The sequence below is a fragment of the Homo sapiens genome, chromosome 2 (genome assembly GCF_000001405.40).
Source record: "Homo sapiens chromosome 2, GRCh38.p14 Primary Assembly".
Lineage (NCBI taxonomy): Eukaryota > Metazoa > Chordata > Mammalia > Primates > Hominidae > Homo > Homo sapiens.
This window is the reverse complement of record NC_000002.12, coordinates 17,827,874-17,850,035: the sequence shown is the minus strand read 5'-3', so window position 1 is coordinate 17,850,035 and position 22,162 is coordinate 17,827,874. Positions and strand designations below refer to the sequence as shown.

General features: G+C 40.8%; 1 long non-coding RNA gene and 1 pseudogene across 1 annotated transcript, besides 2 other annotated features; both read left to right on the top strand.

The window, feature by feature from the left end:
- Positions 1–552: 552 nt before the first annotated feature.
- On the top strand, positions 553–15,343 carry LOC112267888 (uncharacterized). The gene is made up of 4 exons (XR_939764.2): positions 553–760; positions 1,210–1,321; positions 2,216–2,342; positions 15,149–15,343. It is a non-coding gene; the product is annotated as an uncharacterized LOC112267888 (long non-coding RNA).
- Positions 2,242–8,253, top strand: ZPAXP (zona pellucida glycoprotein AX, pseudogene; annotated as a pseudogene).
- Positions 19,448–19,577: a silencer, noted in NCBI's record as "silent region_11191". NCBI's record gives its function as "represses an Ori minimal core promoter by ATAC-STARR-seq in GM12878 lymphoblastoid cells {active_cell/tissue: GM12878}" and the evidence as "EXISTENCE:reporter gene assay evidence [ECO:0000049][PMID:35858748]".
- Positions 19,575–20,075: an enhancer, noted in NCBI's record as "H3K4me1 hESC enhancer chr2:18011228-18011728 (GRCh37/hg19 assembly coordinates)". NCBI's record gives its function as "activates a minimal SCP1, AML or CMV promoter by ChIP-STARR-seq in primed H9 embryonic stem cells {active_cell/tissue: H9 hESC(primed)}" and the evidence as "EXISTENCE:reporter gene assay evidence [ECO:0000049][PMID:30033119]".

Sequence of the window (22,162 nt, the reverse complement as noted above, 5' to 3'; positions counted from 1 at the left end):
CTCTTTAAAAGTTTTTAAATAAATAACATATTCCTGCAATGGAAAAATTCCCATTCTAGTAAGAGAGAGATGATTTAATGTACACACATACATTCAGGTTTACTCACTCCCTAGCTGATTTTTAGTCTTGGCTGAACATTTTACAGGCCTTTTCCTGTTACCATTTAATTTGCACAGCTGATAAAAAGTGGTCAAAAAACATATTCTAATTGGAAATATATACATATATGTATGTATACATATATTCTTACTCATCGTAAGTTTTTCTTTTCTGCTTAGCAAAACCAGTAGAGTTGCCAAACTGAACAAATAAAAATACAAGATGTCAATTCAATTTGAATTCCAGATAAACAATGGGTATTTTTTAGTGTGTATGTTCCAACTATTGCATATATTCCAAAGATTGCAATACTCCAAGTATTATCTGAAATTCAAATTGAAGTGGGCAGCCTGTATTTGCACCAGGCAACTCTCTTTGGGACTCTACTCGAATGTTATGGAACATTCTGAGTGGGCTGGAAAGGGAAGCGTTCAGAAGTAATCAGCAGATGGCCAGGACCTCCTTGCAGGGCAGCTGTGTCCTGGATCCTGCTTTGCTTCTGGGTGAAGGAGAAGCAGCTGTAATAGATTCTCCTGAGGATCACAAATCCTATTGAGGCCAGTTCCATGCCGCTAGGCCAAGCAGAAAGCAGAGCTTCTCTGCAGAGATAAAAGGCAGAGAAGTGTCTTGCTGTGCCATGGCTCCGCATCGTACTGTGAGGTAAGTAATTCTGTGTGGCTCTTACTGTAGGCCTGGAGCTGAGCAGACCACAGGGCCTCAAGGATTCTGGCATTTTAGGCAATAGAGGTCAGGGAATTAGTCAGCGTCTCTGTCCGTATCTCTGTTCACCTGCCTCCCTGTCTTTCTCCCTGTCTCTGTATCTGTGCGCAGCCACCTCTCTCTCTTTCTCCTGTCTCTCTCTCTTTCTGAATGTTTGGTGAACTTCTTATACCTCTCAAAGCAGGAAGGAAAAAGGTATCCCTGTAGAGTCTTGACAGTACAGTTTGCTCTTTTATCAGATTAATTATTGTAGGAGCTTTTGGCTTTCAGACATGGGCCCCTGATGCAGGTTGGTGATAAGCTTTTTCTTGTCCACCTGGCAAGGAGGAGCTAGGAAAAGTGGCACCCAGAGGCTCACTGCCTCCTTCTGTTTGCTTCTGCACACACAGATGCAGACTTCATTATCCTTGAAAGTGTGGGGAGCCTCATGCAAATGAGCCTGGGGAGACAAGTATGTCTTTGCCCATGTCAGAGACAAGTATCTTGACTTTCATGTAGTTGGTGAGTACCACAGATTTTGCAGGTACAGTCTTAAACTGCTCTCAGTTCTCATGGGGTGTTGTGGTCACATGATCTCTTCTTAGTCTGGGTCACTTCCAAGGATTCCATCTTGTGTAGGGAGAGCTCCAAAGGGCCTCATGTTTCCCATAAATCTTTGGTAGCTTCTAGCTTTCATAGCATTAACACAGCCCCATGTGCCATCTGAAGAGTATTTTGCTGGGACCTAGAACTCTGGCGATGGCATAATTGGTGAATTTCACATTTTGGTGGATGTATGTATCTAAAGAATTGACTACCATGAAGAAACAGCTGTTTGGGTGGCTAATTCTTCAATAAGTCACCATGCATTTTCTAGAAACCACAAATGATTATGGAGAGAGCTTTGGACTTAGGCTTAACACCATATCATCTCTGTTCCTCAATAGCTGTGTGCCCCTGAAGCGCACTTAGCCTTTCTGACCCTCTGTTTTCCCATAAGTTGGGGACAATGCCATGTATTTTTGCAGAGGGCAGTGAGATGCATGGATGAAATGATAGTTGTCAAGTGCCCAGCATAGCCCCTGCCACATAGTATTATAGTAACTTATTTTTTAACAGACACCAGTTGAGCACCTTTGGGGTGCCAGGCACTTCCTGGAGGCTTAGGGGCATGGGTCAATAAGATGGGCACCAAAATTTCTGCTTTTATTAAAAATAACCTGAAACCCCAAAAAAGGGGTTGAGCATGCAGGCTCTGGGTCAGTTGCCTGGGTTTGCACCCTGGCTGCAGCTCTTCTCAGCTGTGTGAACTTAAAGTATTTTTTCTCCTCTATAAAGTAGGGGCTGGTGGATTAGCACCTGGAGGCTAAACAGGAAGAAGGGCATTTGGTAAGAAGCTGTCTGGGGCTCTTTCAGATCAGTTTGGCTCAGGAAGAAAGACAGATGAGGCCCTGGCTGCCCAGAGTGGCTACACCAACCTCTCTGACCACTGGGGAAACGTAGGCTCCAGGCATCTCTCCTCAGCTGCTACACCTATATACAGGTGAGTGTCCCATGCCCTCTGAATAGGACTTGTTTGGTTGTGTTAAAAGAAAAACTTCAGCCAAATCAAATTTGAAAAAGTTTAATTGAACAATGAAAAATTTGCGAATTGGGCAGCACCCAGAATCACAGCAGATTCAGAGGAACTCCAGTGCAGCCATGTAGTGGAAGAAGATTTGTAGACAAAAAAGGAAGTGACATACAGAAATCAGAAATGAGGCACAGAAACAACTTGGATGGGTTACAGCCCAGTGTTTGCTTTATTTGAACACAGTTTGAACACAAGAGTGTATGTATGAGTGGTTGAAGTATGGCTGCTGGGACTGGCCAAGACACAGTCACTGTTACAGACACATGCTCCCAAGTTAGGTTTTCAATCTTGTCTACCTATTAAGTTAGGTTGCAGTTCTTCCACAAGGACACAAATATAGAAGTGCACAGTCCTGTCTGGGCTCGGTGGCTCAGGCCTGTAATCCCAACACTTTGGGAGGCCAAGTCAGGCAGATCACGAAGTCAGGAGTTCAAGACCAGCCTGACCAACATGGTGAAACCCCATCTCTACTAAAAATACAAAAATTAGCCGGGCATGGTGGCGTGCACCTGTAATCCCAGCTATTCAGGAGGCTGAGGCAGGAGAATCACTTGAACCCAGGAGCCGGAGGTTGCAGTGAGCCAAGATTGAACCACTGCACTCCAGCCTTTGTGAGAGAGCGAGAGTCCAGCTCAAAAAAAAAAGAAGTACACAGTCTTTCACAGGCCATATTTAGTTTGCTTTAACAGTTGGTACACAGTCTGCCTTAAAAGAAGTGATAAGCTTGGAGTTTTGGATCTTCTCTGGGTTACTGATTATATTAAGACTCTTACTCTTGGCTTCCTCAAGCGCTTAGGAAAAGAAAAAAAGGCTGAGCTGAACACAAACACATCTCTCTTAAGGCTGGAGTAAAACCCCTATCCAAGGGATTCTCTGCAGCAAGTCCAATCCCATGGCTCATGAGGAGTGAGGTTGTATTCTCTTGCACTGCATCTTAGCAATGAGTATCACTTATTATAAGTGCACCACAGCATGGACAACCAACTTGTTGGGGGAGTGGTTCTCTTCACAATAGTATTCATGGAGAAGTGAGCTATGTGGTTTGGTTTGAATAAATGAAGTTAGTTTTATTGTATGAATGCTAACGTTTGGCATCTATCCAAGGATTTCCAAGCTAATTTGTTGCATTTATTTTTCTGAGATGTGCTGGCCCCTTCCAGAAGTCCCAAAGGCCCCATCAGTTTTAAGGCCTACAAAGTAAGTTACTTTCAAAACACCCAAATGTGGCTTCACAAGGAGGTCCCTAGAAAGAGTGGAATTTGGAGCTTATATAAGCAGGTTAAGGCCATATGGTAAGGTTTGTTTTGTTTCATGTGTTCAAATTGTGCTTGTTTTGCATCAGGTGCTGTCTTGGGTGCTGGCATTGAGCAGCTTATGTTCACAGGCTGCCTCTCATGTGGAGAGGGAAAAGCATTGCATACAATGAGACCATGTGACACAGAGCTCATCACATTTGGTTCAGTTGAAACTTCCACATGAGCTGTAGGTCCTCATGTGGAAAACAAGTATCCCATTCTGATAAGGTCAGAATTCTCTTCCCTGCAGAGAGATGTCGACTTTATCATAACTGTGCAACTTGATGTTGCCACGGATCCTGCCAGAGCTGACATTGCTTCTTATCAGAAAAGCGTGGGCTGCCCCTATACCTCATGGTTTTCCAGAGAGATCACGTGAGACAAACTACATGGAAGTAAGAGGAAGACTCGCTCCTGGCCCGGTAAAGAAGGCACCACAGTGCTCTGTGTCGGAAAGTGATCCAAGCTTAGTGTGGCTCTTGCTATTTCCACCCATTTCCTTTTGCCATCCAAAAGAGTCAATTAACTTCATAGACCCATAAACTAGTTATGTTGCCATATCAATGTCCATGTCAACCTTTTAGCTATTACCACATTAGTCCATGTCAGTAATAGAGAACTTTAAAATTTTCCAACAAGTAGATGACTTGTTAGACCAAGCATGAGGTGCTCAGGGAGGTTGTGAAAGTCAGTAAGACTTGTCTTCAAGGTACTTGGGCTAGTGGGGAGAAATTCAGGTATGCATTTACCAGCAGATTTTTCTAGTGTTTCACAGTTTTTCTAAGTGTAAAATTCAGCAATGGGGCTGTCTGTCTCCTGGAGCTCTTCATTTCGCACTGGAGTTCTACACTGTTATCCTCATGTGGCCAGTATGATACTCAGTCCCAGCAAATGGAGGAAATCAATAAGAGCTACCATCTACTGAGCCTTTAATACGTGCCCTGCACTGTAAGAACATCACAGGCATGAACCCAATCTCCCAATAGCCCTGTGAGGTGTCTTGCCCTTTTTGCAAATGAGGGAACTGAGCTTAGGAGCTAAGTAAATAAAATCTTACACAGAAAGCAGTAGAAGTAGGATTAAAGGCAATATCTTTCAGAGAGGACAGGCCCTTATCTTTAAACCTAATATTCTGCAGGTGCCAGAGAAAAGCATGGACATGTGGCTTTACTACCCTCCATTCTTACAAGAGAGAATTACTGTTATTATATATTTTGGCCAGTAAAAAAAATTCTAGAAGCCAGAAGTCAGCTCACGATTTATAAAGTTGAAGTAAATGCATTGTAGTTTCATGTTTTCTCTTAATTCTGCACAAAACTAGCTAAAAATCCTTTAAATCAGTTACCAGAGGCAATACCTGGGTTAATGTAAGCACTCAAAAGTTATGTAGAGTAGCTGTCTCTGAGTCACTTTTTTCTACTCTCATTGGCTTCACCAATGCTTCCACTGGATCAAGAAAGACTAGCTACCTCTTACTGGGTATCAGCTGCATGCCAGCTCTCTGCTAGTTATCTTATGCAGTCTATCCTCTTAAATGAATTCAAGGTACTCTAGAATTACCCTTGGCTTTCTTTGTAGGAGTTATGACATTGAAGATGCAGAAGCTCAGTCACCTATTAGATGATAGCTTCTAGGTAACTGACTGTGTATAGGAATGAGATCATAACCACATTGATTTGAAGTTAAAAGAAGATCAAATCTACCAAGACTAGGGAGCCTAAAGTGTTTTTAAATTTATAGGGTTAAGCAAATCTTCTTCCCAAAGATCTCTGTTAAGAAGGAAGTTCCATTAATCCCCGTGGACCTGCTCTAGGACAAGCCAGAGGACTGGGTGGCGGCGGCCTTCTCTGAGGCAAGTGTGTGGTAGGAAAGCCCAGGAGATTCTTCCATTGAGCCGCTGAATCTCACCTTTAACTAGGATGGGAACTTGAGGTCCCATTAAAAAGCATGGTCAGATGGAGTTTGGGAGTTCTCACTATGAAGTTTCAAGTGTCCTCACACCTGTGATTTTTAGCTCAGGTGACTTCAGGGGTGGCTTCCATCTGGCAGACGGTCTTTTATGCACCAGTCATGTGGTGTTTGATGCTGGTGCAGGATGCCCACAGGGCTGGCTACAGAATCAATGTGACTGACACGAGGATCCTGCTGCAAGCTGGCTTTAAAGTCTATCTCTATAGTAGTTAAGCTATACTTACCAATATAGCTTTAAAACAAATTGCCAGGATTCCAATCACTTGTGATTCCTGTCATATTCAAGGTATTACTTTTACTGCTGTAAGATCAAGTACTTTCTACAAGTAGTGCTGGATGATTCTGATGGTGGACACAGCTATGGCTTGCCCTGTGGGTAAAAGACATGGAGTTGAATTTTGGTAGCACTTACTTGAGAATATCTGGCTTTTTAACTTGTTGTACAAGGTAAGAACTATTCCTGCATTAGGGCTCTTAGTTGGAATCAACAGATCCCCAGTTCTAATCAGGTAAACAAAAGTTCTTCATCTAGAAAACTGAAAATTCCAGGGTTAGAGTTGACACAAGGCATGGCTACATTGGTTTTTCCTTCATCTTTATTCTCAGAAAGACCCTCTCTGTTGTAGCAAAGATAAACCTAGAACAGTTTGAGTCCATCTTTATTGCGAAAGATTTTGGGGCAAATGCTTCAGTCCCAACGGTTGAAGCAAAAGTACCCTATGGATCCCTTTCTAGCCCAGCCTCTATCACCTAACCATCCTTGAAACAACCATTATGGCCAAGTCTACCCTTCAAACTCCCATGGCAGTGTCTACAGTCATGTTATATCCCTGGCAAGCACAGCAGGGAAGGGGCAATTCAGAGACAACAGAAGTAGGAAACAGATGCCTACCCAGATACCCAAGTGAATAGGGTGAAAAATCTAAATGGGAGGCCTTTCACAATCTAGGGCTCCCCTCTCCCGTCTTCTTCTCATGCTTCCCCTCCATGTATCTTCCATGCTGGCTGATCTGTCACCTTACCTCTGCTGCACTTACTCCTATCTGTCAGAGTTTCCCATCCCTTTCTATCCTTAACACAATAAAATACAAAGTACTTTACCAACTCTATTTTTGGTAGTCCATTAGTTTCCTAAGTTTTTCCTTCAAGGCCTGGTCAATGTCCCTACTTATTCTAGGAAACAGTTCAGATCGTAGCTTTCTCATTGTGTCATAACCACATAAATGAGTTAGGACCTCATTTTTCTAGTTGTTTTAGTCTGTCTCTCAAATAATCCTCCTTCCCAATGTCCACACCCCATTGCTTGACACATTCTTTTTTTTTTCTTTGAGACCAGATCTCACTCTGTCACCCAGGCCAGAGTGCATTGATGCAATTATTGTTCACTATAGCCTCAACCTCCTGGGCTCAAGTGATCCTCCTACCTCAGTCTCCCACGTAGCTGGGACCACAGGCCTGTGCCACCACGCCCAGCTAATTTTTTTTTATTTTTTATTTTTTGTAGAGATGAGGTCTCACTTTGTTGTCCAGACTGATCTCAAACTCCTGGGCTCAAGTAATCCTCCCACTTCAGCCTCCCTATGTACTGGGATTACATGCTTGAGCCACCACGCTCAGCCCCTTTCTTCTTTCTACAACAACCAAATTCTGTTAACTTAAGTCTAATGTTCGTGTACAAAAAGTAGGGTACAATGTATCTTTAAGATAGCATGTATTACTCCACGGACACCATTACTTTGACCATCCCCAAGAACATCAGCCCCCTTCTCAATGGGGCTGGCCACTTCAAGGACCTCTCTAAAGAGATGGGAGTGAGTCTTCACAAACTGTCCACAGCTGACATTGTTTCTAGGCACTATGAATTGAAGAGTGATGGCAAGACAATTTCTATCAAGATTCCTCTTGGTGCAGAAGGTGGTTATTACAAGGTTGGTAACTTAATTGAAACTTAAAGATAGATATCAACCTATATATAGAAACATGTAGGTGAGATATAGATGGACTCCCATATGCTGGTACACCATCTAACATGGCCTGCCATAGCACAAGGATCAGTGGAATACCTACCTTTCATGGACTACTTATCTAAGAAAGTATAGTTAATGGTAGCATGAGACTTTATTACAACATGGACCCCAAGTATAGGATTTGAGATTCTAATCAGCAAAATATGAGTGTTTAGCAGCTTTCTAAAAGGAATTAGGTGTTTGTAGCACCACAGAAGAAAAACTTGGGTATTTCCTTGCATTATTACAGAAGTTAAGGACATGAAGGATACTTGGAATTTGTACAAAGTTGATAACTTGGTGGCAATTAACACTAGTGTCTATTTCCATGTTACTGACGAGTTTATCACCAATTTCAAAAATCACTGCCTAGTGAGGTAGAAATTGAGATTCTCATAAAGAACTGTGCCTTAGCATTGCAGTTATCTTGTCTCCACTGTTTCCTTTGAGACTCATGTGGGAGACAGGCACTACGGGGCCACCGATAGTATTAACTTGCTTCTGGAACATCAGTGGGAGGACGACAGCTGGGGCATAACAAAGCACACCGTGACCAGCTTCCCTAGATTTAGCTTCTATTTCTCTGATTTCCTTCTATTAAGTTCAATAATGAGTTTTAATCTCTAGAACGATTTGGCTTTTTCATATATGCCTCTTCTCATTTGATAATACTTTAGACTTATGTTTGATACTATTTATATAAATTTCTGAGATTACTGACTTCGTAAATTCTTACCGTTCTATTTGAAATTTCAATCCTATTTACTGATTTACACTCAAAGATTTCTTCGTGTGTTTTGTTACTTTGTATTTTGAACCTATCTTGAGTAGAGCTTTGCACATAGTCTGTGTGGCCTGGTTTGAAAAATGTGTTTCCATAGAAGCTTTGTTTTTCTGCAAGGTACCCCAAGTTATTCATAACTGGAAGACATTCTTGAAAATGGGTTTGGTTTTCTACATTACACTGATTGAGAAACCTAAAACCCTGAATTAAATTGTAAGGGCAGGCTTAGTGTTATAAATTCTAGGGAAACTATCCTCTTACTTTCCAGCCATAAGACCTCAATTGTAGATGGGGAAACTTATCTTTTCTTATGGCTATGTGGAAGCAAAAGGTTTCTAGGTTACCCTTTCAGTGGGAATATAATACCTAGAGCATCTAGACTTCCTGCAAGGGTCCTATTTTTAATTCAAGCCTCTTACAGGCTTGAGATGCTTCTGTCACTCTACAGGTACTAAAATACAAGTCCTTGGCTACTGGGATTGACACCATCTCTAACCCCCATTACCGTTCTAGCAGCTGCAGTGTCAGATCATCATTTATTGTTCCAGGTTTGGTTATTTCTTTCATGGTCTAAGATTTCCTTTATGGTCTTTGGAATCTCAACCTTGATCTTAAGTGTATTATATCTTAACATGTCTAGTTGTCATGCAGTGGTCATTTTCATGTTTCTCTGTTCACACTATTTCTGGACCTGAGTCTCTTCACCTATCTAAATGTCTGCCAGACTGCAAGTCCAAGGGCTCTGTGGTAGTTACTGCAATGAAGCTGAAAGGAGCGTCAGGCCTGGATCCACAGGAATTCACTTTAAGGGACAAATCTGCAGTTGTTACTAAAACAAGTGCAACATTTTTGTTCAGTGTGAATACTCGTAGAAAAGTAAGATTATTTTTTTACCACACCTATGTGTCTTCTCCACTTCCAGTGAGAACGATGCTATGTTCATAATTATCTTCACTGAACTAGTTTGAAAATGACATTTTAACTAATGAAAATGACGTCCTTTACTTCCAACCTGGAGCAACTGATCCTATGTACCAGTAAGATGGTGTGAAGGGAAGGGAGGATCAAAGCAGAAAAGGGATTTCTCCAGAAGTTTTAATTTTTGGTCCTGTTTGTTAGGCAGGAGACTTAAATACTTCCCTCCTTTTCTTCACCACCCGGAGTTTGTAGAAGGCAGCAGAAGTGGGTGGAAGTGGGGTAACTCCATTATAAGCTTTGCAGCTGGTGATGCCTGATGATTCAAGAACTGTTGTGTCTTTTCTAAGGGGATGCTGTTGTATTTTCCTCAGATTAAGATGTGCCTGCTGGTATCTTCTCCATGATGCAGTCACATTTCATTACCAACCAAAGAACAACCTGGTACCCAGTGTTGAGCCAGGACTTGGTCTTATCGCCCTGACCATGAAGGTGTCCAAAAATAGATTCTTCTTGGCAGTATGGGAAGGCAATTCAGTTCAAGGCAACAATAACAAAATAATTTGGCCTCATATAACACTTCCTATCAGTCTTACTTGTGTCTGTTGTCTCATTTATTCCTCAGCTACCTTAAGAGACAGGCAAGAACCGCTGTAGTTTCATCAATTAGAAAACTGAGGCTCAGTTCAATGAATATTACAACAAAGTACAAGAGGCAAATATCCTACATGAACAGATCTTATGAGTGAAAACTTACTAATATCAAATAGATATTAGTAATTGATATATAAAACTCACCGAAAAACACAGACTTTCTATATATTAAAAAGTCTATCACTAGAAACTGGAAATACAAATTAAAAATGAATTATAATTTCTTATCAAATTAAAATACTTGGCAACGTCTATTTTATGTCAGCAAGTGTGTGGTAAACAGCTGTCGCACTGCTGATGGTGAAAAAATTTGGTAGCATCTTTACAGAATGCAACTTGATACTGTGCTATAAACTATGCATGAGTTTATATTCCTTCTTCTAGAAATATGAGGAAATAAAATGTATTCAGACTTATAGACAAATGCTGTCACCTAGTATCTGTAAGAGCAAATATATATTTAACATAAATACATAGTATGTTCCCTGTATAGATAACTCTTAGAGGTTTAGGCTTTTCAGATTTATGGCACATCAGGTCATAGAAAGTTTTAGCTATTAAGTTAATTCAGATAATATCTTAATGACTAGTCAGTCATCAAAGTGGGGAAGCAGTGAGGAGATAATAGTATAAAATAAAATTGTAGGCAATAATAACAGAAAAGTTTAGAAAAACAATGTTCTCTGGTTGGTGTTAGGATTTCTCATCTGTGCATACATATTTAGAAAGAATCCTCAAACCTAAGTTTATCTCCTTTTTTTTTTTTTTTTTTTTTTTTTTTTTAAGACAAAGTCTTGCTCTGTCCCCCGGTCTGGATTGCAGCAGCACAATTTCGGCTCACTGCAACCTCTGCATCCAGGTTCAAACGATTCTTGTGCCTCAGCCTCCCAAGTAGCTGGGACTATAGGCCCACCACACCATGCCTGGCTAATTTTTTTATTTTTAGTGGAGAATGGGTTTCACCATGTTGGCCACACTGGTCTCAAACTCCTGACCTCAAGTGATCCTCCTGCCTCAGCCTCCCAAAGTGCTAGGATTACAGGCATGAGCCACTGTGCCCAGCCCTAAATATATTTCTAACTTAATTTTTATTATATCACAGTTACTATTTTTAAAGCTAAAACTTTCTATTAAATCTGTGAAGAAAAGAATTCCAAATAAGAACATTATTTGACTCATTGTATTCAGAATTCTACAAGAATGTAAAATACCCTGTCATAAAATATTTAAAAGAAGCAGTTTTCTTCAAAATTGAGCTTCTGTATTCTGAAGATCCACAACTAGAGTTATCTCTAGAGGATTGCTGATCTACCCTAGGCCTAGATCCCAAGAGCATCCCACAGTGAAACATTATTAACAGGCACTTCAAACTGATAACAGGTGTGTTTGTGTGATGTTTACAAGCGAGGAAATTGAGCCCTCAACTCATTAGAATGCTTAGGGTATAAGTCCTAATTTATTTTCTTAAACTACTTCTACATATTCTCTTTGTATTTAGCCTTTTTCTTCCCTCAAAGCTTATAGAAACTGAATCTGAAAAGTTTCATTTCTTTCTCATAGAGGGTGGTGAATAATATAAGTTGAGATTTTTTTGAGTCCAGTCTGAATAGATTTATTTTCAATGGAAGGTATCTTAGAGGTAAGAATGTATTCACTCAAAATCATTGAGCGCAGCATACCAAGTACCAGTCTACATATCAGGAAGACAGCAGTGAACAAGAGAGTTTCTGCTCTAAGCCTATATTTACTGGGGAAGATAAGCACAGACATATTATGCTCTGAAGAACATGAAGCTTTTTAAAAGGTTGCAGTGACTGGTGAGTCCCATGGTTGGAATAGTTACACTCTCTGTAACTATTTAGTGAAGAGTGAGGCATTATCACAAATCATCTATGCTATCTCAAATTCCTAGGAAATTAGTAAAAATATTCTAAGTGTTAACTTTTCTGCCTCAAATTCAGAAATGTGGCCACCTTAACTCATTGCCTATGGCTAATTTACTCTGAGAGTAAATTACGTTGTGTCCTTGGCTCATAATGAGAATCAATGTGAAACCATCACATCTCTGAATCTTCAAGGAAACTACTGCTGAAGATGGAGGAATAAAATGGACTGGCCCTTATTGTATCAGTTCTTTTTGATGCTTAATGCCAGGAACGTTTTCTTCTGTACTTTGTCTTCAGGAAATGAATCCCATGACACTGTCTCCTTTCCTGCCTTGGCTGATAGGAGGCTCAGAAATGAACATTTTATCTACCTGGGATTAAACTTTTCTCTCAGTAGCTTTCACTTTTCTATGTCAACAGTCTTTTTATCTATCTTTTCTCATCAATCATTGAAATGCAAATTTTTTAATTCTGCATAAAGACAGTACATAAAAGTCAACTTTCACAGAAGAATTAAGAGGTTTATATTATTCTGTTCCTATAGCATGCAAATGACCTAATATCTGGATAGTGAGGTATATTTTTGGAAAACTTCAAGCAAGAAGAAACATTAAGGCTGTGCTCTTCAGATTAAAATCTAGTCTTGCTACAAATGTTAACAGATGCCCTCTAGCACTGAATTCATAAAAATCTACACCTTTTTTTCACCCTTTTTGCTTCACTTTTTTTTTTTAGTGTACCTTAATTGACCTAAAAGGCTTCACTATGAGACGCATTCTCCATGTAGTTTCTTTTTCTTCCCATGTAATTTCTTAAACATTTGCCAAGCCTTGTGATACAAACATTAGAAGACCTTTAAGTTATTACAAAAGGCCTACAAATCAATATACTTATCAAATATATGAAGTAGAAATTCAAGATGCTGTCAATAATCATAGTAAATTGTCCTAACTTCCCTTTTGCTAAGGGAAAAAAAAAATAAGTAGATCCCAAAACTTCTAGGCTGGGCACAGTGGCTCATGTCTGTAATCCCAACATTTGGAAGGCTGAGGCAGGAAGATTTCTTGAAGCCAGGAGTTCTAGACCTGGAGGAGCAACACAGACCCCATCTCTACAAAAAATGCAAAAATTAGCAGGGTGTGGTGGCATGCACCTGTGGTCTCAGCTACTTGGGAGACTGAGTTGGGAGGATCTACTGAGCCTGGGAGGTTGAGGCTGCAGTCAGCCAGAATTGCACCACTGCACTCCAGCCTGGGTGACAAAGCAAGACCCTATCTGAAAAAAATTATTAAATGACTGAAATGTTTAGAAAATTATTACTCTCAAGTTGTAATGGATCTCTATAAAAAGTGGAAAACATGAACTTTTCAACAATCAGATAATAGCAATGGTAATACATCCAAATGAATTATTTTTGTTTTACTTATTCCTTGTCTTATTTCATGCCTAAAGTTATAAAAATGAAGAAACTGGCCAAACTATATACAAGTTTTATCTAGTAAATTATAGATGGTTTGTTACAAGTAGTTATTAATTTCATTACTAATTTAATCAGTCAGATGTGGTGGCTCATGCCCATAATCCCAGCACTTAGGGAGACAGAGGCGGGAGGATAGCTTGAGCTTAGGAGCTCAAGGCCTGCCTGGGCAATATAGCAAGACCCTGTTCTCCACAAAAAAGGAAAGAAAAGATAAAGGGTAACTAGTTTGATTTAAAAAATAGCTTGCATTTGCATGTTACATCTTTAATCTTTATTTTGCACACTTTAATGGCACTAGATTTTAACAAACTCTCTTAGATGCAGTTAATCTGTAAAATGGGAGTACTAATATTTATCAGATTGATATGGAGCTTAATGAAAATTGCTTAGTAGTAGGTGTTCGTAAATGTTTCTTCCTTCTTAATCTTTACAACTACTAAGCAAAAAACATATATTATCTCTTCCAAGTCAGACAAGTGAAATACCTGGGTTCCAGGCCTTCCTCACTGTGTTAACATGGACAAGACTCTTGTCCTGTCTTGTCCATGTTAACACAGTGAGGAAGGCCTGGAACCCAGGTATTCTATCCCTATTCCAATGTATTCACTCATTTCCATCCATATACTATAGATTCTGGCAATACAATACAGTAATAAACAAAGTTCCTGCTCTCATGAGGCTTCTGTTTTAATGGGAAGCAAATGTCATGTGGTAGTAAAATAAAATAAAACAGTTAAAGAGATGAAAGTCAATGTGAGTGAGTGAGAGATATTTTATGCAGGATCACAGGGGCAAGCCTCTGCAATGAAGTCACATTTGAGCAGACATCTGAAGGCAGGAAGGCATGCTGGTATATGGAACATTATTCCAAGCATGATCAGTATGTTCTAGAAACAGCAAGGGGGCCAATGGGTCTGGAATAGAATGAGGTGGGAAGATGAGATCAGATCCTGTACTGCCCCCTGGTTCCTTGTTCTTACCACACTGCTGTCCTGCTCCTCAGAGAATCTGTAGTTTTACTTTGTACTCCAGGAACTCTTTTCTAGTATTCTTCTCTTTTACCCTACCACTAACTCGTAGGCTTTGTCAGCGCTCCAATAATAATCTACAATGTGAGTTTACAATAGTCCTCCATTATATATTCTTGTCCACTGTCATAGTGAAGGTGTTGTCAGTAACATCTCATAGGCAAGGGCACAGAGGCACTAAAGCACTGCCTGGCTTGTCCAGACCCAGTACACGAGAAAGCAATAGTTTTTGTTTGTTTGTTTGTTTGTTTTTGTTTTTGTTTTTTTTTTTTGAGATAGACCCTCACTCTTGTCACCCAGGCTGGATGGAGTGCGGTGGCGTCATCTCGGCTCACCAAGCTTCGCCTCCTGGGTTCACGCCATTCTCCTGCCTCAGCCTCCCGAGTAGCTGGGAGTACAGGCGCCTGCCAACATGCCCGGCTAATTTTTTGTATTTTTAGTAGAGACAGGGTCTCGCCATGTTAGCCAGGACGGTCTCGATCTCCTGACCTCGTGACCCACCCGCCTCGGCCTCCCAAAGTGATGGGATTACAGGCGTGAGCCACCACGCCTGGCCAGTTTTAAAATTCCAATCTCATTGCACCCTGCAGCCTCTACTCAACCATCCTACCTCTTAATATATTCTTTGAATAAAAGCTCTATTTAGAGTCTCCTGTGACAGTGAGACTTAGTTCTTTTCTGGTGTTTTTTTTTAAAGCTATGCAAATGATGAGATTCCATGAAACTGTCTTCTACCCCGTGGATATAATTTCTTCATGGATGTGAGTTTCCTTCCCATGTGAAGAGATTTGAACTTAAAATGTTTACCTTCATGGAGAAAGAAAATGCATTATTGGAAGATGTGAGTAGGTTCTTCATCTATGACTGTGTTGACACTTGCTCAAATATGCCAATGGACAGGTTAAAGACCAAGTGAAAGCAATTTAATTTTAAAAAGTCAGATTTGTCTAGTTGTGGATATTTAGACAAGAGAAAAACTAGAATGAATTAGCAAATCTTAATTGAAAATGGCTGTAACACTCTTTCATAAAATGGCCTAGTCTAAAAAGCCATTGTCATTCATTCCAGCGATGAGATAGATAACAGTCATTCTATTTTAACTTATAATCTTTTTACTTCACATTTTTCATGATAGGTCTATCATACATATAGCACATAAAGTCTGTTATTTACAACTCCATATATATATATATATATATATATATATATTTGTATAGTGTGTGTGTGTGTGTGTGTGTGTGTGAGACAGGGTCTCACTCTATCGCCCACGCTGGAGTGCAGTGGCACCATCTCAGCTCACTGCATCCTCCGTCTCCCAGGTTCAAGCAATTCTCATGCCTCAGCCTCCTGAGTAGCTGGAACTACAAGTGTACATCACCATGTCCAGCTAATTTTTATATTTTCAGTAGAGACAGGTTTCACCATGTTGGCCAGGCTGGTCTCAAACTCCTCGCCTCACGTGATTCACCCACCTCAGGATCCCAAAGTGCTGGGACTACAGGCATGAGACATTGTGCCTGGCCTATAACTCCCTATATTTTAGAAGTACAATACAAACATTTGCATATTAAGCTATATAACCATTATATAAAACTGTTACCATATTCTAAAACTTTAGAATCACCAGACCTATAAATCAAATGAAATCACAAGAGATTGAAGAATTCAGACTCTTGACCTTGATCTATTTAGCTAATATTACCTAGGAATAGATCTAAGTTAATGAGCCCATACTATAGAGCAGGTTAAAATGGCAGCCTCTAGTTGAATATGGTTAGACCAAGCAAATTTAATTGGAAATGTTGGCCTACCAGGATAGTGCTTATAACCCTGGCCAACTTCACTAACAAATGCCTCTTAATTCCTGCAGCTGTACGTCCACTGCAGTATGGCAATATGTGATGCAAAGAAACCCATGTCAGACCTGCTATGCAAAACAAGTACATTTCTGGCAAGCAGAAACTTGGTGTGTTGCTTCATGATATTTCTCTATAACCAGATTTAGTACGACAGTCAAAAGTAGTTGGCCTATCTGACCAAAAGATCTAATACAGATAACTCTCTTTCCTGAGAAATTACAACAGATGATAAGTATAAAATAAGTTGGCCAGGTGCAGTGGCGTACACCTGTAATCATAGTGCTTTGGGAGGCTGAGGTGGGAGAATTGCTTGAGACTTGAAGTTTGAGACCAGCCTGAGCAAGAGTGAAAATGCATCTCCACAAAAAGTTAAAAAATTAGCCACACGTAGTGGCATGTACCTGTAATCCTAACTACTTGGGAGGCTGAGGCAGGAGGATCTTTGAGCCCAGGAGCTCATGACTGCATGAGCTATGATTGTACCACTGCACTTCAGCTTGAGCTCAGAGGGAGACCCTGACTCTAAAAAAAAATGTTATTGCTCAAGACAGGACATCAGATCTCCTACTTTCTTTTGGTTTAAAAGCTAGTTTCAAGGAAGGATCTGACTTTAGAAGGAGCAAGAAATTTAGGGATCTGAAAATGAATATTAAACTGTTTTTATAGAAAATTTTAAAATAGCAAATCCTGAAGCTAAGGTCCATAAAACTGAAGCAGTGTTTCCAAAGGTAGACTCTTTTTGTTAAACAGGCACCAGAACTTTAGCCAAAGACTAGGGTAGTTTGAGAAGAATTTCCCTGGAATGATAGGAATATTTCTTCCTCTGTTTATCTGCAGAAAAAAGTACTGGCTTACACCACTTAAGAGAACAAATTTCTTCCACAGCCATATCTTGGCCTCTTCAAATACAAGCTGAGCAACGTTTTACCCAGAAGACAGTGACAGTACTGTTAATTTAGTAATCTGAAAAAAAATTTAAATACTCATTTTAATTTTAGTTGTTATGATTTTAAAGCAAGAGTCATAATTATTTTCTGTCCTACTTCGGAGATAGTATCCACAGTCCTCTGTCTTCTGCGGCTGTTGACATCTGTCATTCCTTTGTAGAGTGTTATTCTTCCTGGTTATTAAGATCATCCTTTTTCCTTGATTTTATACCTTCTCTAGAATGTGTCTTCACTGTTTAACAGCTCTGAAAATTCATTTTCATCTGTTCTGAATGTTCTCCCCCATTATATTTGAATATTGCACCTTCTTTATTTTCTCAAGTCTCTCTTTATGGAAATCCATTAGATATGTTAAACATTTTTATTCTCCCTGCCTCTTAACCTCTCTTTCCTATTTCTTATCCTAAATCCCTTTGTGTTGAATTCTGGGTAAATTTCTCATATCTGTCATCCAGTTTCTCTCTCTTCAGTTGTAACCAACCTGAGGTTTAACCCATTTGTTGCCTTTTTAAAAGTGTCCATGACTATATTTTTCACAATTAATAGTTCTAATAGGTTTTTCAGATTTGTTCTATCACGTATTTCTTCTTAGTCTTCATTTTTTTAAACTAACTTTATGCTATGGAATAGGTTGTTCAGTTATTGAAATCTGAAGAGTTGTAATCCTATCTTCTAATTCTGTTGGTTGTGTTTGCTCTTTCTTGTTCATAGTGTGTGTGTTAATTTGTATTATTCTCTCCTCTTAAGACACTTGGAAGACCCGGATTGAAGCTTGTCTCTTTGTCAAGTTTATATCTGCTTCTGCCAAGCACCTAAGGGATATTAATTTTAATGGCCATTTCTACGCTTGGGTTTCCCCAGGCCATGCAGGTAGTATACATTCATACTCTAAACCTATACATGGTGCAGACTCATTGATACACTGCTTCCATAAGGTTCCAAATACACTATTTAGTTCTGCTATAACTAAGAATTCACAGTGCAAAAATTACTGAATAATATTGTAAATGCTGTTTATCAGTTTTCAGTTTTTAGACTTGACTGATAAATGTACAGAAAAAAGTGAATTGTAATTAGATTTATAATTTTTTCCAATGTAAAAATTAGGAATACTTAGGAGAAAGAAATTGACATTTATCCTTTTCAAACATTCTTTCTTTCATATATATCACTTTAAATCGTAAGGTAATCTCTGAAAGGAACCACAGTAGTTGTCTAGGCAAGGAGGAAAGCTAACTTCACTTTGCATTTTCAGTTCTTTCATATTCTTTGAACTTTATTTTTTGCTGTGTAGGTAATTGAAACATGTTTATAATAATTCTGTGATCTCTAGATTGGACTAAAGGCAACAGCTTCTTTAAGTGAGCTTGAGTCTTTGTCTCCAGGATGGACCCTTTATAGGACCGCAGTCTGTGACATCTTGACACACTCCTACCTGCCATAGTGGAAGGAAGAAGTTCATGTACTGCAAACTCTCCTCAGCTAAGCTTCCGACCTTTTTGAGGGGGGAAAAAAATTACCAGAAATCCTTAACTTGAGGGGAAGGAAACAGCATTGACTCCATCAGTCACTGCGGGGAGTTTAATTATCATCTAATCATCACATCTGGCCTGTGACACAAGCTTTTGTACCCCGATTTTGCAGATAAGGACACTTATCTGGCGTTTACGAACCATGTGATTTTGCTAAGTAACTACACAGATGAGCCCTTTTCACCAAAGCACCCGAGTTTCTCACTGTCCCTTTATGAAATTAGAGTCATCAAGCTGTTCCTCTCGCCTTGGTACCAGATCTGTTCAAAGCCGGGCTCAGAGGAAGGCACCTGTCCTTCCCTCCCAGCCCTCAGCAGAGTCCAGGAGCACCAGACTCCGAGGCTCAGCCTGGGCATCCTCGGCGTAACCCATCCGCTCTGCTCTTCCTTATCCACAGCCCAGTACTAGGTCTGCAGAGCGCCGCGTGCTGGCCTGGAAATAAAGTGCTCTGAAGGGATTCCTGGAGTTTTCCAAGCACTGGGGGCCTCCCTGCGAGCGCGATCGTTTGCAGTTAGCACGGAATCCTGGAGGGGGCGCCCGAGGCCTCCCACGAGCCAAGCGCGGACTGCGGGAGCGCCCGCACCACCCCGCGCACTTGAACACCCGAGGGTTGCGGGATCTGCAGCCAGTGACTGAACGCCTGGTGGCTGGGGAAACTTACAGGCAACTCCTCACAGAATATATAGCCTCTGTTCTCAAATAGGATGAGCAGGGGCTTCAAAAAGTTGGGGAACTAGCGTCTGCTTCGGGTACCTGTGTCCTCTGCAGGTGGGAGCAGAGACCTCGCGCTGCCCAATTGCTAAGGGTCCTCGAGTTTGTTAGACCAGCCCCCGCCTCAGAAGTGGAAGCTCAATTATTCCTTCCCAGTAATTAAAATGCACAACCAACAAACAAAAACAAGGCCCTAGTGTTTCTCTGGCACCTTTTGCCTCTTTTAACTAGAGCCCTTTATGACCCAGCCTCTGGCCCTCTGGCCCCCAGGGGCGCACTTTGGCGCCTCCAGCCTCATTAAAGGGTGAAAAGTGGGCTCCAGGAGGCCTCAGACGCTCACCTGCTAGGAGAGGGCTTGGCAGGGGAGCACCGGAGTAGGAAGGACTCAAAGGGCCTCTTTTGCAGTGGCTAAACTCCACAGAGGTAACTAGAGCATATTATTGGATATAAAATTGCTTTTATATCCATATTTGAACCTCTGGGATCTTTGAAAAGTTATTCCCCTATATGAGAAAACCAATCAAAATGCAGAGGCATCTGCACTGCCATACGTCCATTAGCCGTGAATGGGGAAATGAGTCTGTCTCTTCCCTCCCACTGGTGGAGTATATAATCTTTAAGTGTTAATCACAGATAGTACCTGTGCTCAAAAGCCTCCCAAGGAATCATTCCTCGTATGTACATCCTCCTTCTGTACCTTCTATGTTCGGGGTCTTTACCTGAATGAGGGCAGTGCCTCTGAGGGGTCTCGGAGAAGCTCTGAAACCAAATAGCCCTTTACTAGGCAGGAGCCCTGGGAAATTCACCTCACTTCTCTGTGCATCGTTGTTCCATCTGTAAAATGGAGATGGTGATGTCTACCTCGCAGCCTTGCTGGAGGTGTTAGGCTGTGCCGGTTATGCACTGAAGTGAACCTTCCAGAACAGAATGCTCGGGGGCTGATCAGAATCTGGAAATGCTGTCTTTTGCACTGGCTCTTCAAGAGCTTTTGAAGCAGGACCCAGCTTGCTTTCTCACGGCTTCTCCTGCCCTTTCACCCTACTCTATAGTTCCATTAGGAATTCCCTACCTTCTCTCTTCCCACCCTTCTAGCCTCAGTTTCTTTTGTAACCCCTAAATCCCTCCTTCTGCACTTCCAATCCCTGAGAACATTCCTCCATTCCCAAACTTTGGAGTGAACTCACTGTTGAAACCATACTCCTCTCTAATCAATTATAGAACTGAATCCTTCCATGCCTGTAGTATAAACCTCCAGAGGGCAGGGACCCTATATCTCTCTCAGGAACCAAGCACAGGCTAAGAAACATGCTATCAGTTTGTGAATTCCCATTCAGTGAATAAATTTGTCCTTCTCACAGAAGGAGCCGAACACAAAGATATTTGCTAAATTCATCCCCTTAGCTTCATGTTCCAGCCCTTGAGAATCTGTACCCAAACTCATTCTTCCCCTCTATGTCTCATTGCTCATCCCTACAGCATTGATATGGTTTGGCTGTGTCCCCACCCAAATCTCATTTTGAATTGTAGTTCCTATAATCCCCATGTGTGGTGGGAGGCACCAGGTGGAGATAATTGAATCATGGGGGTGGTTTCCCCCATCTTGTTCTCATGATAGATAGTTCTCATGAGATCTAATGGTTTTATAAGGGGCTTCCCCCTTTGCCAGGCTCTCATTCTTCTCTCTCCGGCTGCCATGTGAAGAGGGACATGTTTGCTTCCCCTTCTGCCGTGATTGTAAGTTTCCTGAGGCCTCCCCAGCCATGCTGAACTGTGAGTCAATTAAACCTCTCTCCTTTATAAATTACCCACTCTTTGGCATGAGAACAGACTAATATAAGCAGATTCCTGGCTTGTTCCTTTACTCTTGCTGCTCTGTAACTTGAAATGCCCCGTTCCTGTGTCAGGATCCGAGTTATCTATCTAGGTTCAGGTTCAATACCAGCTCCTCCCCAAAGCCAGGTGCCCCACTAAACAGAAAGCCTCTCTCCATCTGTCTTAGTTCATTCCTGCTGCAATAGAAAATACCTTAGACTGGGTAATTTATAAATAGCATAAATGTATTGCTCGTAGTTACAGAGGCTGAGAAGTCTAAGATCAAGGCACCAGCAGGTTCAGTGCCTGGGGAGGACCTCACCGCTGCTTCCAAGATGATACCTTAAATGTTATCCCCTTCACATGGTGGGAAGGACAAAAAAAGGCAAACAGCTCCCTTGAACCTCTTTGGTAAGGTCACAAATCCTATTCATGAGTGCCCCATTGTTATGATTTAATCACCTGCTAAAGGTCCCCACCTTTTAATACTATCACATTGGAGATTAAGGTTTAACATATGAATTTTGGAAGGACATATCCATACAAATCATAGAACCATCCCTGATTCCTAATGCATTTTAGATACCTTTTAAAAATTATTATTCCTTCTCTTTGTGCCTGTATTTTGATCATTATGTATAGGCCTAGCTCCCTCAACTACATTTTAAGCTTTTTGAGAACAGAAGCTGCACTTTGCCATCACAAGGTTATTAAGAGGATTAAACACAATCACATGGGTTAAAAAAGAAAACAATGCTGCTTGTGTTTAAATCTGCAGCATTGAAAAAGAAACAAAAACATAAAAAAAATAAATGGGCGGCATTGCTGGGCACAGTGGCTCATGCCTGTA